The following is a 20,271-nucleotide window of genomic DNA, read 5'->3' on the forward strand; positions in this document are numbered from 1 at the left end:
CAACTGTTTCTTTAAATCTGACATAGAATTGGAAAAAATACGACAGTAAGCACCTTTATTCATTTAACAATATTTATTGATATTTTGTGTGCTGCAAACGTTGGGTTCAAATACAAAGTTCACATACCTAAAAGAGTATTAATATTTTGAATACAGTTTGTTTTTGAATCATGCTGTATTGAAACCCCATCTCTACTAAAAAATGCAAAAATTAGTTGGGTGTGGTGAAACGCACATGTAATCCCAGCTACTCAGGAGGCTGAGGCAGGAGAATCACTTGAACCCAGGAGGTGGAGGTTGCAGTGAGCTGAGATGGTGCCATTGCACTCCAGCCTGGTTGACAGAGCAAGACCCTGTCTCTGGAAAAAAAAAAAAAAAGAGAGAGACTAAGCAAGATTTTTCTTGGAGATGGGGCTTCCAGTTGTGGGGAGGAGGAACACTGGAAGAGGGACAAGTAAGTTGGAATGTCTTTCCAGACACATTATGGAATACATAAAGAAGTCAGGCTCCTGTGTCATAAAACTGAACTTTAAAAAAAAAAATCCCACAGTATCATTTTGTTTTTGCTATGAAAGTATATATTTGGGAGTGCACGTAGAAGAAATGAAATCCAGTCTATTTAAAAGAATATTAAAGATATCAGGATGCTGATTTGTGTTAAAGAGCAATTAGCAAGAAGTAGCTATAGTCAAATGATAAATTGAGGCCTAAAACTTGCAAGCAAACAAATGGGCAGTTTCAGGTTAGACTTTCCCTGACTCCAGGCAACTAGTGAACCACTTTCTCTTTAAAGAGTTGTTAAGTGGCAATATCATCCTGGTATTCATTGCTCAGTATGCATTTATCAATTGTAGAGCAGGTTTTTGTATGAGACACCATGCAAGATCCTAGGATAACAGCATCACTTATTTTATATTGTAGTAAAACATGTAACGTAAAATTTAACATTTTAACCATTTTAAAGGGTTCAGCTTTCTGGCATTAAGTACATTCGCGTTGCTGTGCAAGCTATCATTTTTTTTTTCCTAGTGAATATTTAGATATAAATCACAATCCCTTTCCAGTGTCTCCTTTTTTCTTAGGGGATAATGATTGATAATATGATTAAAATGAACACATAGGCAGTGTATCCACTCTGTCTTTCATAGCCTAGTGTTCTTATGTACATTCTATTTTAGCCATCTCTTGCACACACAGTAGTGCACATGCAACCCAGCCACACATACACAGTCACTGAGTGTGTTGAATCACTGTCCTTCCCACTCTCCTAGCATTTTTTCTTCATATTTTAGAGACATATTTTTTCTTCTCTTTTTTCCTTTACTCTCCTAGTATTTTTATTTTAAATTTCTCATACTTTCTCTTTAAATTTGTGGAGCAAAACAAAAAATAAACAACAAGAAACTGTGCTTAACGGGAATGTTCCAAATGTTCTCAGTTTATGGCACCCTTAGTATCTCAGTAATTTTATTTTCAAGATCCTCTAGGCCAAAAGATGTACCTCACAGTTTCATTTAATTAACATAATATGTTTAAGTCCTAACAACTTAGTAGCCTTTTGAAAAAATGATACACATAAATTGAAAGCAAATCTATTTTTATTTTATGCTTAGAAACCCACAATCACTTACTAATGGGATTTTTGCCTGTTGAATACTGCCCAGCCCTCAAACCTTGAAGTCACACTGGACGCTATCATTCTTATTTCCTTTAATTTTTTTATGGAAACAAGGTTTTTGTCATTCTTACTTCATGTTGATTTTCATGCAGTATTTGCTTTTATATCACAAACAAAATCAAAACCCAACTTTGCAAAGCTGTAACATCATTGAAAGGAATGTAGCATGATCTAATATTGAAACTGCAAACCACTTTAATAGTTTTTGTGCTGCCTAATGGATACTGCTGTGGGTTTTTTGTTTTTGTTTTTGTTTTCATATATTGAAAACATTTTGGCCAGGCACGGTGGCTTATGCCTGTAATCCCAGCACTTTGAGAGGCCAAGGTGGGTGGATTGCTTGAGTTCAGGAGTTTGAGACCAGCCTGGGGAACATGGTGAAACTCCATCTCTACAAAAAATACAAAACTTAGTCAGGCATAGTGGTTCACGCTTGTAGTTCCAGCTACTACGGAGGCTGAGGTGGGAGGACCGATTGAGCCTGGGAGGTTGAGGCTGTAGTGAGCCATGATCACACCCCTGCACTCCCGACTAGGTGACAGAGTGAGACCCTGTCTCAAAAAAAAGAAAAGAAAAGAAAAAGAAAACATTTCACCATTCCCCTGAGAGTTTACAGTGGTGCCCTGGACCACCATGACAGTTAGAGAGTTGTTGGCTTTATAGCCAAAAAATAATATTTGTATCCAAGTAAAATAATGTCATTAGTTGGAAGTCAAGATAGATATACTAAAGGCATTAATCTTAAATGTCCTTCATAATTTCCTCAGATACTTAAAAAAAAATCTCCACAGATGTATCAACCTATCATTTCGTTATTGTAGGACAAAGTTTACTTTTCTTAAACACCTGCCCTTAGGATTAAAAATCAACTATTTCATATTCAGTTGTATTTTCTGTGGTTTACTAGTATTTTCTTTGTCTTATTTTATACTGTTCTTTTCAGTAAATAACTAGTTTTAGGCTAATTTAGTTTTTGGGCTTAGCATAGGAGTCTAATAATGAAACATTTCTAACATGTAGAAGAACATATGCTGTTTTCTATCCAGTTAACTCACAAACATACTTCTAGAACCTAACTTGCTTTTTAATTAGAGACTGCCATAGATGCTCCCTGTGGCGAGTTGAGTCTCTTTTGTCATTTTGAAGTGGTTTTGTTTACTATCTGTTCAAGAGACAGGCTGACTTTGGCACAAAAGTTTGTTTTTGTCCCTGGTTTACCTTCTTTATACTTCCATTTGACAACATGCTTTTCTGCATATTTACTTCTCAGCATATTTTAGTAGCAAGGCTTAGGTGCAAGAGACCACTGGAAAGATTGATCGTTTACCACTGGAATTGTCTTATTTGAACTTTGCTACCTTTAGCAAAGGTTTGGACTGATTGTCGACCCAGGACTAAAAATCTTCAGATTCTCTGTGCATATTAAATCAGATTAAAGACCTGTGTCAGTCTGTGCAGACTGTTCTAACAAACATAAAAGAACAGAAATTTATTTTTCCCAGTTCTGGAAGCAGTGAAGTTCAAGATCAAGGCAGCAGCAGATTGGTTTTGCTGAGGTCCTGCTTCCTGTTTTTTCCTCCGCCTTCATATGGCAGGCAGAAGGTGTAAGAGCGCTCTCTGTGATCTCTTGTATAAAGGCACAGTCCACTTTTTATATTTCTGGGATCTCTTTTATAGGGGCAGTAATCACCTTCCAAAGGCCCCACCTCCAAATATCACATTGGGGGATTAGGATCTCAACATATGAATTTGGGGTGGTGGGGACACTAGCATTCAGTCTATGGCAGGATCAAAATGCCTGAGTTTTATTATTTTTGATTAAACATCTCTTAAGAGCAATGGTAGTATATTAAGAACAGAATGTGCTAAAAATTCTTTTTGGTTGGTTGTTTTAGAATATAAACATAGGACTTCTACTTTAAATAAGTATAAAATAAAAATAGGACCTAATTTTGGCATTTAATATATATTTTTTTCAATAAAATGTAGAACGTATTTTTAAGTTTAAAGTTGTATTATACATAACCGTCACGTATTGTAAATGGATGTGTTTCAGTCAGTGCATTTTATGGAGTGAGGAACAAGTCACTTCTGATTTTATCTTCCTCCTTAGTGAAAGAAAAAGCCAGATTGTTCAACTGATTTAACTTACTGGGTATTTTTCTTTTCTTCTTTTAGATTTTATTGATCTAATCCAAAGTATCTTATAACTTCTGGCTGGAATTAAGGTCAGTACTATATTTGTGTCAATCATGAATAAACTGTGAAATAAAATAAAGGCATCATGGGTCTTTAGATAGCTGTGTCAGAAATATGCTTGCAATGTGTAGTAGAAGCTCAAATTTAGTAAAAACTGGATATATTTCGGAGTTGGCCTACTAGCAAACATGGTTCCCTAAGTACTGTTTTTCTAATTAGTATAATTTATTTGGTTTTTGAATGTTGAATTTATTTAATCTTACTACTACCTGAGTTTCGAATAATGAAAAAAATCCAACTCGAATTCATTTGTTTAATTAACAGAAATATTAAAAGAGTGACTTCTTGGAAGGCTGACCTTTCAAAGAATGGTCAGCTTCCTGAATTTGCAGGAAAACACTTTGAATTCCACAATTATATACTCATAGAGAATATATTTCGTAAAGAGGGTAGAATTGAAAACGTACTTTTCAATAAAAAATTTCAGTTAGCAGAGTGTTAAGATGTCATTCCTTTTGTTCTGTGCTTTCATTAATTGGCCTTAATTGAGACTCGAAACTAGCTTAACTGAGTTTAGAGTAGTAACAGAACCTCAGAAGGCCCTCACAGCAATAAACTTGGGATTTTATTTATGCCTTCTATTTTTTTTCAACATGTATTCAGATTGAAAAAAAAAACACTAAACACTGAATGAAATGAAGACTTTTATTGCTTATGAAAGAACAACATGCCAGTTGTTGCTAAACTTTTTGTATAGGCTTTTGATTAATAATTAACATAAAGGAAAACATTGGCTTTTCATTTGCCCTTACACTAATCAGGAATTTTCCCTTTAAAGCCCATGTTTAACCCTTCAGATTGCAGTGTCTGTCATATAACAGGCACACTGTAAATATGTACCTTTTCTGACCTCACTTTCCTACAACCAAATACATATAAGCACACAGACACACAGACACACTCTCTCTGTCCCACACACACACACACACACACACACACAGAGATGAAAAACTACTATTATTTCTCTTTTCAGGTTCAAACTGTGCTTTCCTATCTTCGAAATCTGTATCGAATGAAGCAAATAGAATATATTAAAATTATGCCTATAGATAATTGGAAACTTAATAAAGAAAAAAGGTGAAATGTCTACAAGTATTGGTTTCAAGTCTATAAACTGTATTATTTTATTAAGTGTTTTTATATAGTTCGGGGTCAAATTTATTAAAGTTTCTCTTTTTTATTCACTTCTGCATATGCTATGGAGATTTGTGAACATTTAAATGTGCAATTTTTTAAGATTTTTTGAATTTTTTTCTACTTTTATCCCCTACTAGCCCCTATCCCATCCACCTACAAAACCAAAATTACAAGTAGAATGAGATTTTTGTAAAGTATACATCATTGAATCAGTAATATTTTCAATGCACAGAGTTAAGTTTTAATTATAAATAAATCTGTATGAGAGGTAAACTTTTCCTTTCTCTTCTTTAATAAGAAATAAACTCTTCCCTTCCTGATTTTTTTATTTTATAGTTTATATGGTAAACATGACAATTTGCAATCTCATCTTGCTCTGACCACTTACCAGAATGAAAGAAAACTGAAAAGAAAAAAGATTTTTGTTAGACTATAAAAAACTAACAGTAACGCACAAAAATTTTTCATAATCTGATCCCCTAACCATCTTCCACATGGAGATTTCTGTTGTGGGAATACGAAAATCGAGTGTGTTTGGTCAAGATGACTTGCCTATTTTCAAATAAATAAATAAATATATCAGTGAAAATAACGTGTACATATAAATGGAAACATGTTTAAGCCTCTCTTATTACCAGGTCTTCCCACTTGGATATGTGTGGTTTAGTATTTATTAGTATTGTTTTCCCTTCTATCTGGAAATGAAAATAATATTAAATTACATTTGGTTAATCAGTTATCTAAATCACATTTTGTAAAAGCAGTTAGATGTAGTAAGTCTCTTAAAACTATATTAACTCACTAGAAACAGCCAAGTTATCAAAACAGAATATATGTAATGGAAATTACCATTTTTTTCAACTATAACTAAGTTACTTTTGGTTTAAAATAAAAGAGTTTCCCTCACAGAAAAAGCATGTTTATCTGTAAAACTGTTAGCTGAGCAAAATAACTAGTGTTGCCAGATAAAAGAAAGCTACCGATAGGGGTATATAAAATAGGACATCAGAAATGCCATTGCAATATTTTATCAATTCTGTGATGCATGTAATTTTACATTAAGTTATGTAAAATTAAGTGATGCTATAGTTAAATTGACAGCATTTTTTTTCCTAGTGGTAAATGAGGTATGTCTTGTAATGAATAGCATCTTAGATTTTATGAAACACAATATTACTGAATTTAGACTGGAAACGTGTTTTAATCTCCTAAAGTTATTACAAAAAAAAAAAAAGTCAGAATGAAATCTAGAAACAAGGAAGGTAAATTTGGCATTGATTCTCAGCAACATTTTAGGCCACAATTTTTGCCTTTTTAAAAAAATGTGTATTGGTTTTTCTGATCTACTTCTTTTTCTTTATTATTAATACTGCTACCAGCATTTTGGTATATTTTCCTCCAGTTTTTTTTGTGGTTTGTTTTCACAAAAGTTAAATTAAATTTTCTATTCTATACATTGCAGTTACTTGAAAAGGTGATTTTTAATGGCTCTGTGATATACTATCCTATGGATATTTCATAGTTTATTTCACCATTTACTCATTGTTGGACATGCAGACCATTTTTAATATCTCACTATTATAAATAGCCCTGCAATAAATATGCTTCTAAAATGTTTATGTTCACTGCTGACATTGTACTTAGGATCAATTTGTAGAAGTGGGATTATGTAGTGTAAAGAAATAAATATATTTGAGGTGAGTAACGTGTACATTATGTTCCCCAAAATTATATACCAATATACACTTCACTGGTAGCAGAAGCAGTCTGAGATTTGCAATACCCATGCCAATGTTGGAATTAGGATTTTAAAAATTTCTCTCAGTTTGATAAGCAAATGATGGATTCTCAATTTTAGAATATAAAATAGGAAACAGATGCTTGTAAAGGAATACTCATGGATCATTAAAAATATCAATCTAAACAGCATAACTTGTTTTTAGATAGAATGACGAGGTAATGTTAATTTCATTGGCTCTGCCACTCTCAGCCTGGGAAGGCTATTTGATCTTATGCTGTTGAAGACGGAATCAAAAGCTAAATGATTTTCATTCTTATAAAGATAGATGATCATGTTAATTATATTAATTATAGTTTTCTTGAGAAAGAGGTTGAGGACCCTAAGGAATGGGACAAGGGAGACATTCTTTAATAGAGTTCTCAAGTTTACTTACAGTGGAGGTACTGCTCAACAAGTGACATGAGGTGCAGTAGCTTTTCTGGAAGTGTTTGGAATGCTGTGAGCAGAAAAGAACTAAGATTACTCTACAAATCTAAAAGTGAAATGTCATATTGTGTGCTAGCTAGTGTAGATATTTTATAAATTTCTCTCCTCAAAATTTAAAAAATACATTTCTATATTGATACTGTCTTTTAGTCTCATTTTGCAAAATCAAAAGTTAAAAAGAAAATATTGGATATAACTTGTTGCTATTTTGTATCCGTTTCTTCTTCATCCTATACACTAACCTTTTATCCTTCCTCTAATGCAGTCAGTACTTAGCATATATATTCCATGAAGACCCTACCTCCAACCCTATCCTATCTTGCTCCCAAAGAGGGATCATGTTCATCATACTGACACCTAGTTCTAAGGGATACATTGCTTAACACAAGGCTCTCAGTGCTATAAGACTTCCCCTGCCTTTGCAATTGCACTTGACTATATTAAAGTGTTCTGGTGGCATTGGTTGAAGCACCCGAGTTTGAAATTAGATTAATTCATGCTTTCTTGGTGCTTAGAATTCTTAAACAGATGATTTCCTATGATTTTTTTTGAAGAGATGGAGTCTCCCTCTGTCACCCAGGCTGGAGTATAGTGACACAATCATGGCTCACTGCAGCCTCAACCCTTGGGCTCAAGTTGTCCTCTCATCTCAGCCTCCTGATTAGCTTAGGAGTACAGGTGTGTGCCACCATTCCTGGCTATATTTTTTATTTTTTGTAGAGACTGAGTCTCGCTTTGTTGCCCAGGCTTGTCTCAAACTCCTGGCTTAAAGCGATCCTCCTGCTTCAGCCTCTGAAGGTGCTAGGATTACAGGCATGAGTCACTGTGCCTGGTCAATTACCTATGACTGAATCATTAATATTTATCTGAAATTATTTACCCAAGCCCTGATTTTGATCCAGTGCTCCAGAACAGGGTGGATGTTGTGCTTCTTTTCTACCTGGATCTAGTCCTTCCTCCTAATTCTAATCTTTTCCTCTGGCTTAACCTCTGATGCCCTCTATACTTCTAGACTGCTAAGCTGCTTGTGGTATTCCTTGGTCAAGCCCTCTGATTTTATTATCTGTAAAATGGAAACAAAAATAACTTATACTTCATTTCAAGATTAAATGAGATATTATTATGAGTCTTAAAAATTGTAACTTTTAGTCCACTTTTAAGCCCTCTATCAAAATATGCTAATTACTTTGATTATTACATATTGTATACTTGTATCAAAACACCACCTTGTGTCTGATAAATATGTAAATTATAATAAATAAATTACATTTTAATGCAAAAAAAGACTCTTAGAACAATGTCTGGCATATGGGGATTGCTAAATAAATAGGAGTGTTTGTTCCATTGATCCTTGAAAACAAACAAACAAACAAATTCTCTATTAAAGTCTTTTTTTCTAGATTTTACATGTGTAATAAATTCTGACGCTTCTCTTAAAACAGAAAATAAAATGAATGAGGATCTTTAAATTATTGTTATAAAAGCTTCAAAATATATTAATGAAAGAAGCCAGAAGTTATACACACACACACACACACACACACACACACACACACACACACACAAACACATATATATATAAAATGTATGATATATATAAATTTAAAAAATATTTCTTTTATAGAGATAGGGCCTCACTCTGTTGCCCGGACTGGAATGGAGTGGTACAATCATAGCTTAGTATAAACTCAGACTTCTAAGCTCAAGTGATTCTCCTGCCTCAGCCTCCTGAGTAGCTAGGACTGTGGTAGCATGCACCAGCACACCCAGCTAATTTTTTATTTTATGCCTTTTATACAGACAGGGTCTCTCTATGTTGCCCAGGCTGGTCTTGATCTGACATGAAGTGACCCTCCTGCCTTGGCTTTCCAAAGTGATGAGATTACAGGCATGAGACACTGCACGCAGTCCAATTTATAGAATTTTATACTGTATTTTAAACTGGCCAGAAAGTAATTTCTCTATGCTCTGTTGAGTAGTATTATATGGTTCATTAAAGATGCTGTTAAACTAAACAGCATATTGCACAATTAAGCAGACTTGCACTTAAAAAAAGTGTAGAAAATGCTAATACTCTAATGAAATAGGAAGTGGGGAGAGGCGGATGTTCTTAATGTCTAACCAGTAAGCTTCAGTGCTTTGAGCTTTCCAGAATCAAGACAAAATTTTGATTAGCTTCTTGGTCAACTTCCAGTACCTTCTCAGGGAGACGCTATATTTCTCTTCCAACTTGCTTCATGTTGCTTCACACATTTCTTATAGACTTGTTATGCTTCATGTTATGATTGTATCTGGATAGGTCCATTCTCCCCTAGCAGCCCATAGGCTTTTTAAGGAGAAACTGGGGCCTTTACACTTATGCGTGCTGTCTCAATAGGGCCTTGGAGGAAATGGACACTTAGGAAATGCTTATATAATGAATTTTAAAGACATTCATTATATAACAAACAATTATAAAATTGCAAAACAGAATATAAACAATTGTATTACATATGAAGACTATAGAGCTACATATATGTGCGTATATGTGTGTATGTTTTAATAATCATTAATCACTGTATCCTCTCTCGGCCCCCTATCTTTCTCTCTTGAAAAAACAAAAAACAAAAAAACACCACAGATCCAATACTTGTTCTTTAAGATTCTTCCAGTGGGTAGTATTTTTGTATTCATCTTTCATGGCATCAACAAGCCTATTTCCTCAGGATGTCAGGCTGTCAAAATGAAAGCAATTCTGGAAGCACGTATCCCCAAGATTCTTCATTAGGTCATGTGAACAAATGAGGAGGGATAGCAAGTTTGTCTGCCATCCTCACTTCAACCCCCTCCCCACCTCTCCTCTTCTAAATTATGTCATGAGCTAATTCTTTGATAGTCACGTTTTTGTCCAAAATCTAGGAAATGATTACCATTAAAAGGAAAAAATACATATTTATGATGCATCAAATTTCAGAAAGCTTCACAAGAGAAAGTAAATTATCCTAAGGATTAAATGGTCTTTTCAGTTTGAAATGTGATTCTGGAAGCCTTGTATTTCTCCTTAAAGTAGTAAACAAATAATTGGCCATTCTATAAATCTTTCCAGAATCTCAAAGTCACTTTGTATCATATGTAAATCTAATCATTAGAATCCTGGATATGTTTTTTTAATACAAAGATATTAATATACTATGCTAAATGTAGGAATAAAATAAAATGACAAAATAATCACCTTTTTCATAAGTTTTCTAAGTTTCCCAAATTAAACCTAATAATTATTGCAGCTTCAAATGTCTTTGGGGTGATTATTGTTTAAAGTCCTCCCTTTTTTTTTCATGTGGGAAAAGAATGCTCTAGCTCATTCTTTATTCCTTAATTAAATGTAGTATCAAATGGCTGCAAAAGACAACCACTGGCTATGTTTTCATACAAACCCCATGCTTATGAAATCAGTTCTGTGGATTTAATTCACTGACCAGCTAATCTTTATTCTTTTCCTAAATTCATCTGTAAAAAAGAATCCCATTCCAAAGAATAACACAGCTGATCTCTTTGCAGCCCATTTATGTCATTAAAAAGTATTATAACCTAAATATAGGCCTTATATCTTATTAGGGTAGTTTGGAAGATTTAAAAATAAAATTAATGAATTTCTTTATTATGTAAGAAATTCTTTATATTCTACTTATTGCAGAATAAGAACTGCATAGTAGTACAAGGGATAAACTCTCTTGTTCCTCTATAAATCAACGTGAGACTTGTTAAGCTTCATCAGTTATTCACCTGAGAATAGAAAAGTATCCATTGTGTATTAGAAAAAGGAATATGACATACAATACACACATGTGATAGATAGATAAATGGATAGTCATGATGGTTTCAAATAATTTTGCCAATGCACAATACAAGGGCTTTACTTTTAGGAATGCCTTCTGAGTCATTCATGTTGAAGAGGGTAAAATTATGTGCCTTTTCTGAACTAAACTCTCCCAGTTATTAATAATATAAAAATGTTAGTTGAAAAATCATTTGCCATAACAAACCGACATGGATTAGGTTTCATTCCATATTATTCAGTGTCTTACGGTTATCAACTTTGTGTTGCTTTACAGTCTTCATTTTCTTTCTTTCGACCATTTCAAATCTAATTAGTGAAGAGTTGAGTAAAGAAAACACTGAATGCATTATATGAGTACATCTGTGTCTATCTTCTTTCTCTCTCTCATTTATCTAAAGTTTTATACCTGCCAAAGTTTGTAGTTCAAAACTAGAGCAAGTGATCACTTAGTACATTACTTTTTGAATATTAATAAGTGTATTAGTCCATTTTCACACTGCTATGAAGAACTTTCCTGAAGTTGGGTAATTTATAAGGAAAAGAGGTTTAATTGACTTACAGTTCTGCATGGCTGGGGAGGCCCCAGGAAACACAATCATGGTGCAAGCGGAAGCAGGCACTTTCTTCACCTTCTTCACAAGGTGGCAGGAGGGAGTATGTGCGAGCACGATGAAGTGCCTCACTTTAAAACCATCAGCTCTTATGAGAACTCACTCACTATCATGAAAACAGCATGGGAGAAACCGCGCCCATGATTCAATGACCTCCCACCTGGTCCCTCCCCTGACATGTGGAGATTAAAATTTGAGGTAAGATTTGGGTGGGGACACAGAGGCAAACCATATCAGTAGGTATTTGGAACTTTAAGTACTATTGTCTTCATTTTATGAATCGAGAAACTTAGTCATTAAACCAGAAACAATTTTTATTTTTATTTCATTTATTTATGTAGAGACAGAGTCTTATTCTGTCACCCAGGCTAAAGTACAGTAGTGTGATCATGGCTCACTGCAGCCTTAACCTACCCAGCTCAAGTGATCCTTCTTGCCTTAGACTCCTGAGTAGCTGGGGCCACAGGTGCACACCACTATGCCAAGCTAAATTTTTTTTCTTTTATTTTTTGCAAAGATGGGGTCTCATTATGTTGCCTAGGCTGGTCTCAAGCTCCTGGGCTCACGCAATCCTCCCACCTCAGCCTCTCAAAGTGCTGAGATTACAGGCGTGAGCCACTGCACCTGGCCCGGATAGAATGTTTATAAACAGAGTATTCCTCTGTGAAGTATGTTAGTTCTTAGAAATACAGAAAAGTCTCTTATGGAATAACAGTAAGTAGAAAAATACACATTTATCTAAATGTAACTACTTGCCTATGATATACATCATTTAGTGATGGCTTAAACTATAAGATATTGATCTTCAGAATGATAAAGAGAGTGGGCTTGATGTCATTTGCTTAAAGATGCTTCACCTAGAATGAATATACTTTTTCCACCTTTTCCTCAAAACTATTGCCTTCTATTAGTGTTCTGTCAGAAGTAGCTCTCTGGTACAATACTAAGGTGCAAGTATAAGCTGATCTACTTTTTAAAAAACAGCTACGGTGGCATCTTTAAGGGGTTTTAAGTCAGCCATAAGGAGTATTAGACCAATAGAGGAGAATCAGTTAAACAACAGGAATAAAAAAAGGGAAGGGTTAAGGAACTTACCGAAAATAAAGGTATAGGAATTTCTTCCTTTAAAATTTATTTAAATTTTGGAAATATGGGGTAAAAATGAGTCAGTGAGCAGGACGTTTAACTTGACAGGCAACTTTATAGTTGCAAACCATTTTAAATTTCACTTCGACTTTCCATTATCCCTTAGAGACTCGAAGACCTAATTTAGACTGTCTGGCTACACTATCACAGGGGGATGATTTGTGCACTTAGGGTATCCCTTGGGGTTTTCTACCTGTTTGGAAATTAAGATGTAAATTAGTATTGTAGTATGTTAGAGGGGTGTACTGGCAGGCAGTTAATTTCCTTAGGTGAAATTAATGCTCAGAGAGAAATCGTACTTACATATTCAGGTTAGGCTATTACATAGGCACTTCAATGGAGTGAAATTACCTTTTCTTCTATTTCATACAAGTGTTGTACAACACAAAAATTACATAATCTTCCATGTTAATAATTACTAATGTCACCTTAAAATATTGTATGCTATTGAATGATTATGCATTTACTGGAAATGTATACCCCACAGGGTATTTACCAAGTTTCTCTATCAGGCATCATCCTCCCTCTTCCGCCATACCTGGAACTGCTGTGTTCCTCTTTCACTGTAGGGACTAAGTAGATATGTATTAATTTTTGGATTTTCTTATATTTAGATAGTTTTTGAAAATTTTCTTTTTGGTGATCACTGAAGTTCTCTGTTAGAGACCTAGTGGCAAAAGTTATTTTAACTTTGTGCTTAGAAAATAAGGACACTCTTCACTTTTACATAAATATAAAGAGGATGCAAACATCAAGTACTTCATTAATTAACAAGAAAACTTTTAGAAATATCATGTGTTTTGTCACCACAATGTGTGGCACAATGCCAGCAGATGGCATAAAAAGTGTTTGAAACGTGATGTGATTTGGTTTTGCTTTCAGAAAACTAAACAGTTTCTCTTTGGATTGAGCATAGTATCTTCTTCATGTACATGTCATGGATTGCTTAGATAGTTTTTACAAGTTCGTTATCTATCTCGTAAAGCCCACATTATTGTAGTTTTTGATACGTATCTCTTTATTTCATCATTTTGACATAGCCATAAATGGTATCCCACATAGATATTCAAACAATGTACCATTAACTAGGACATAGAAATCCTAGTCATTAGCTAACATGACCCCACGTGGAAATACACCACTTTATGGAGTGGAAGGGCAAGGGAAGCAGATGGGGGAAGAAGTATGCTCAAAAAATAGAAAAGTATATACAAAGAAATACAAGCCATGAGGTGAATGATAACCAAACAGATTTTTTTTTTAAATAAGAGAAAAAACAAAAAGTAAAACAGCCTAGATGATAACACATTTTTGCCTGGTCCAGCCTTTGGGAAACCAGATTACATTCTTTCATCTCATAGTTTCATGGGCATGTATTTTTACCAGGGAAAGAGAATTTGTACATGATAATATTTCTAAATCATACTCTAAATCATTCTCTGTACTTTCAGAATTAAATCTTGGCACACATGTAGTAAGCCTACATGAGAAGGTGCAGTTCCAATACAACTGAGTGGTTATTATTAAATCAAGTAGTGAAGATCCAGTTGTAGTTCATTTGAGAGCAAGATTCTGTGAATGCTTTAAATGTATTAACAGTGGTTACTTTGCTCTGCAATGGCTTACAGTCAAGAGAGGGGAAAACTAATGCATATAAATATTAATACATGATGATACAATCAAATACTAAGCACAGATATAACTTTGTAGAGTGACCTAGAGAAGATATAATTGATTTTGAAGGGCTGAATTTTTTAAAAGGGATCTTCAGCTGGGTTTATAGGTAAATAGAATTTATATAGCCACAATAGAGAGTTAGAGGTACAGAAAGAAGGACATTTCTTGAAAGGGGTCTATGGAAACCAAAGCACGCATAAGGGAATGAGGACTCAGAAGTTGAGAAACCTGAACAGAGGGTGCGGGACAGTTTTACTTTGGATCTGTATTCTGCCTCTTCTTTTCTTCCTTCTTTCTTAGTCTTCCACTTTTTTTCCCTACAAATATTTGTTGAATTACTTGTATGTGTATCTGTTCTTTAACTGTAAGCAGAAACCCAGTTCATCATGAGATTTTTCATTCTCTCTTCATGCACACAGAATAGTTACATAGATATATACTGCTGTGAATGTCTGTTTCAAAAGCTCACTTTAATGAAAGTCTGTTTTTGTCGTAGGTTTTATGAAAAGAAAAAAATAAACATTGATATCTGAACACATGGGAACTAGATGTTCCAACTCACCCTCTTGATGTCTGTAATTATTTTATTTTGGCACTAATATTACCAAGCTTGTTTATAATTAAAGATAAATGAAATAGTAAAATTAACTACTTTATCTCCTTATTTAAATTTCAGATGGGAAATTTGGAATTTTACTGTTTAAGTCCTTTGTTAAATATCTAAAAGGGCTCTACTACAGGGAGACGGATTAATTAAAATCAAAATTGTTGAGGGAATATAATTAAAAACAAAATCTTATACCAACCCAGAAATCCCCTCCACCAAAGTAATAGAAAAAGAAAACACTTTTACTATTAAGCATTAAACCAGAATGTGATGAACATTACAGGCAATCCACTAAGATTATAAAAACCAAAAGAAATCTCACTTTTCTATATTGCCAAGTAGATGTAGCCAAGAGTGGGATTACACACATGCTTTCAAGATAAACAACAACCAGTCCTCAAGTAAAAGGACTTGACAGCCCCATCCTAAATTCTTCAGGTAATTGGGGTGATCATCTGTGTTAGCTAATTGGCTTTCTCTGAGGAGAAACAAATTTCTCATCCCTTTATGACAGGAAGAAGTTTTGCAACTTGGAGCAAGGGTAACCCTGAAGTTAGGCTCCTACCCTCCCATAGGAACTGGGAGATAGGGGAGCTTTCTCCCTTGATGTTTGCATTTCAAAAAGATAGCCTCAAGGTTCTTGAGAAAGCATTTCTGAGTTGTGAGGCTAATGGGAGGCTTAGTTAGCCATCATTAAGATTTACATAAATTCTCAAAGAACAAAGAAAGAAATTCTAAAAGAAAAGGGAGGGTAGAAAGCAGTCTCTATCTACCCTTGTTTTCAGCAGAGAGATTTGAATAAGAGGTATATTTGTCCTTACAGTGTAAAATGAAGGAAATAATTGTTTTTTAAGAAAAGTAGTCAGTGGATATTTTGGGTTACCTGAGTATATTGTCAGTATATTCTAAAACAAATAACAAATAGGCCTTAAAATGGAAAGATTGAAGTAAGATGATCACTACTCCTTCACACTCATAGTAACTTGATTGTTGGGTAAATTATTGGAGGGTAGTTCTGCTCATATTTGGCTTTTGCAAGGGAAGGCAGACCTTGTGGAGAGCAGAATGGATCATATAAAAAAGGTCTTAAATTTCTACTTGAAATGTGTTTCAGACTGGACATCCTAGCTTTCTGGTGCATTTAACTTAAACTGCTCAACTACTCATTCAGTGCTCATTCAAATGTTAATGTGGGCCATCTGCCTCCCCATCCCCATCCTTTTTTATAGCAGGAACAAGCTGAAGGTCACATGACCCTAATTACTGCAATTATGAGATTTCTGGGAGTAATCACTTAGGTTGCACCCAGAGTGAGCATCTGCTGATGATAAATAGATCAGGAGATTACTAAAGACAGGCTTCCCTATAAGATATCCAGTGATTAATTTCTTAATATATATACATATGCACAGCTAAATCCATATGCTCTAATAAAAGCATTCTTTTCCTCACACTTTTTCCTAAAATGCCTCTTTAAAATTTAGTAGGAACAGCATAAAATGCATATTTTTTTGTGTGCGAATGTAATTAGAATTCTAAAGAGGGAATAGGGAAGATATTCTAATAATGACTAATAATGAAGCAGCAGCCTTTACCTACACAAATTTTAGTTCTCTGTGCAAGGAGAAAAGAATGTCACAAGGGCTTAATCTTTCCAGCAGAAATATTATTTCATATTATTTTATTTTGTTTTGTTTTTATTAATTTTGAGATGAAGACCTAATTTCTAATGAAAAGGGTGTGTGTTTAAGGGAAGATTCTTCAGGCCGCTTAAGACCTTCTGAGGCCCATTCCTTAGCAAGATGAATTCTTTTCCCTTTCATGAGGTCATTTGCTTATTAAAAGGTGGTTGTTTCATAGGATATTTTCTCACAGTATTGTTTACTTTGCTCCCTATTATATTTTGCTTACTATAAAGCACTTACAGTTTTAAATTCTATTGTGTATTAATTTGACTTATTTTTAGCCTCTCCCATCTCATGCAGTAATTTTTGAATGACACACTGTGCTAAATATCATGTTAGGAGATGTGGCAGTATTTTTGCAATACCATTGGTTGGTCTCCCCATGTTGGTTAATGACAATGACATTAAAGGTTATGCATAGTATCTTTCTTCTTTTGAAAATCTCTCCTTTTGCCAATTTGCCCCCAAAGTATGGTTTAGAGCTTCTTATAATTTCCTTTATAGTATTGAGGCAGGCTAAGCTTATTTCCAGTATGTGTAAAATGACTCTAAATGAATAATTTATTCACTAAACAAATGCTTTCTTGAGCACCACATCGTGCCAAGAAGTGTGCTAGAAAAGAACAAGAAAGACACAGTCTTGCTCACTTTTATTCAGGTGGCAGCAGCCTTCTACGTACATACATGTACTTTACAACACACTAATATGATGCACCAAAATATAATGTATCATTTCCTAAATGATTTGACCTCATTTATTAATAATTTCAAAATACATCAATTGATGGTTTTTAAAAGTCGTTTTGTGGCAGCACCTGTCCAATCCTTCCTCCCCCACCCCCTCTTTTGTCATTACTAGGATATGATTCAACTTATTCTTCAGGCATAAAGGAGTTTGATTGGATTGTAACCCTTTTCTCTCCTTTTTATCTGTGTTTATGCTTCCTTCCTTGCTTCTTGTAAACTCTTTAATCTTATTTAAAAAAAAAAAATTTTTTAGGTTGTTAGGACTGATATCTTTCTCTTCTAACTTTTCAGAGAAAGAACAGTTAAGAGACTTTGCAATATTGGAACTCTGTCAGCTGGGCCCCTATGCCTCTCAAAGATAACATCAAAAGCACATTCATGATCCATCTGAGCTGATATACCAGGAGATTGGGATTTTGTGATCAATAACACATTATATGGTCCATTCTATAGCATGTTTTAAAGGAGAAACTGTTTGCTAAATTCCTTAATTGTTGTTTTCATAGGTACTAAAGCTCCTATGGTATTATTTTTTCAATAAAATTATAAATACATAGCAGTGTAGTTCAGTTCAGTTTTGTAAGACTTCATATTAATTAAATCATAAATTACACAGAAAAATCTTTTGACAAGCCATATTTTTAGAGCTTTGGTTCAGAAAGTATTGTTTTCATAAATAAAATTCAAATGAGGGAGAATTTGTTCATTCACTTTTAAAGAAGCATCAAAGACCTGTGTCGAGCTGCTTCTCATACTGGATATAGAACAAGAGTCAGCATCATTTAAACCAGTGCCCCATTAGGATTGATGGGCCTCCTTTTTTTTTTCCACCAGCTAGATCTCAGCTGTGAAATGAGAAAAATATATTCAGTAAAGACAGTAATATAAATTCCAAGGAGCTAATCAGATTAGAAAGCCATGGCCATACACTTCTGAATCAAGGCAGAGCCCTGTAAATATGGCTAATGCAAAACCAATGGCACCTGTCACAAAACAGCATTTTGAACTCTAAAAACTAGAGTATCATAGATGCAGGAAAATAAAATGATTTGGAAGAAGTCTTGCAGGTTGGGATAAGAGAGACCTAAATCATATTGAAGTAGTTGACAAGTCATAAACCTCAGGTTGAGGAAAATATTGCCCCTTCTTATATGATGTTTCAAGAAATGTTTGTGACAAATAATTTTTAAAAATAACTTTTGAAAGTGCTGTATAATCAAGCATTGTATTTCTGATTGAGAGTTCAAATCCATATATGAAAAAAGTTTCAAAATAATTAATATATGTAAGAGGCCTGCACTTGTAGGTCTCTGCAGTTGTAAGGACGTGGCCTAAGACCTCAATCCAGGAAATTTATTTAAAGCTCCATATGGAAGTTTTTGTTTTTGTTTTTGTTTATTTACCTTTGGTAAAATCTTAAATTTTCTTCATTCAGGGAAAGTATCAGTTGATGCTGCTCCCTCAGTAACAAAACGGTTGCATTCAAACTGTTACAACTTACATAGAAAACCCAGAGCACTGAATCAAAGAGATGTCAACTAACTCATTGAAGCCCACAATTATTGGTGGTGGAGTAAGTGTAGTTGTGACTCTAATAAATTTACAGTTGTCTTTTCCTGTTTATGGTTGCCAATATTGGTCTTTAGATATGATGTATTACATACTTAAAAACCTGGTAAGGGACAAATTAAAATCTGACATTTGCATTCAGCTTAAATTAGTTAAGTCAGTAAATGGTTCTTCAGCCTTATTTCCTGCCATCTCTCCTCCTTTTATTCTCCATGTTTTTTTCTGTTAGGAGTGAATGCTTAGACCTCAGTTACTCAGAGCCGTCTTTCCTACAGTGGGCGAGATGCCCTCACTGTGCACTCCCATAACACCCCGAATGCAATCTCTCATGGCATTTCGCTTTATTCTCCCTCCCTAATCAACATGTTTTAAAGATTAATTAGATTCCTAGTTGTTGAAGTCAGAGACCACACATGGCTTGTCATTACTGTCTTTCTGGAACTTAGTGCGTTGCTTGATATAATTTTAGTGTTTATGATGTTGCCCACATTCACTCTTACTCTCATTGCTGTTGTTGGATTGCTGTTACTATTCCAGCGCCCTGTGTGCCCTTCTCTATTGCTGTCCTGAGTATTCCCTTTCTAACCACCCTGTCTGAGCTCCTCAGCCTACGTCTTCTGCATGCTGGAGGCTGGACCCAAATGCTAGGCCCTTCTCTTGCCCATCTCTTCCAGCCTGCAGGAGCTGCTGCTTCTCCACTGGAGGCTCCTGTCGTAATTCAGCAGTCAAACTGCAATATTTACTTTTAAGGAGCTTGACAGGTAAAAAGAAATCTCTTCAAACTGCATGAGACCTATTCAGCTCCATTTGGCTTTTTATTCATTTATTTTTCTCTTGCCAGGTGGTCCGAATCAAAGATTGAAGTGCCCTAGATTTCCAAATTTGTCTTTTATATATTCAGTGTTAAGTGCTTAGTGTTGTTTATAATTTAAACATAACTTTTATAAAACTCTATTTTGAAAAGCGATGACTAACTATGGATATACATAAAAAGGATGTTAGCAGAAATGAAAAGTTCCGTTTAAGTCCTTCTTAAGGCTTGTCTCATTTAGACAAACAAAAGTTACATTGTTTGCCTGCTCACTGATGACTGGTACCATTTTTACTTCCC

The 20,271-nt window shown here is 34.5% G+C and overlaps 1 protein-coding gene across 35 annotated transcripts in view, besides 1 other annotated feature; it reads left to right on the plus strand.

The window, feature by feature from the left end:
- MAP2 (microtubule associated protein 2) overlaps positions 1–20,271 on the plus strand; it is a 310,066-nt gene that overhangs the window by 79,689 nt on the left and 210,106 nt on the right. For 31 of the 35 annotated variants that reach the window (NM_001375493.1, NM_001375501.1, NM_001375503.1 and 28 more), the window contains one exon: positions 3,857–3,906. The exons of the other annotated variants lie outside the window; for them this stretch is intronic. The gene's annotated coding sequence lies outside the window, so the exon portion shown is untranslated. The remainder of the gene's footprint in view (positions 1–3,856; positions 3,907–20,271) is intronic. 35 annotated transcript variants of the gene reach the window in all.
- Positions 15,356–16,041: an enhancer, noted in NCBI's record as "OCT4-NANOG hESC enhancer chr2:210383815-210384500 (GRCh37/hg19 assembly coordinates)". NCBI's record gives its function as "activates a minimal SCP1, AML or CMV promoter by ChIP-STARR-seq in naive and primed H9 embryonic stem cells {active_cell/tissue: H9 hESC(naive and primed)}" and the evidence as "EXISTENCE:reporter gene assay evidence [ECO:0000049][PMID:30033119]".

This window comes from Homo sapiens, chromosome 2 (assembly GCF_000001405.40).
Source record: "Homo sapiens chromosome 2, GRCh38.p14 Primary Assembly".
Lineage (NCBI taxonomy): Eukaryota > Metazoa > Chordata > Mammalia > Primates > Hominidae > Homo > Homo sapiens.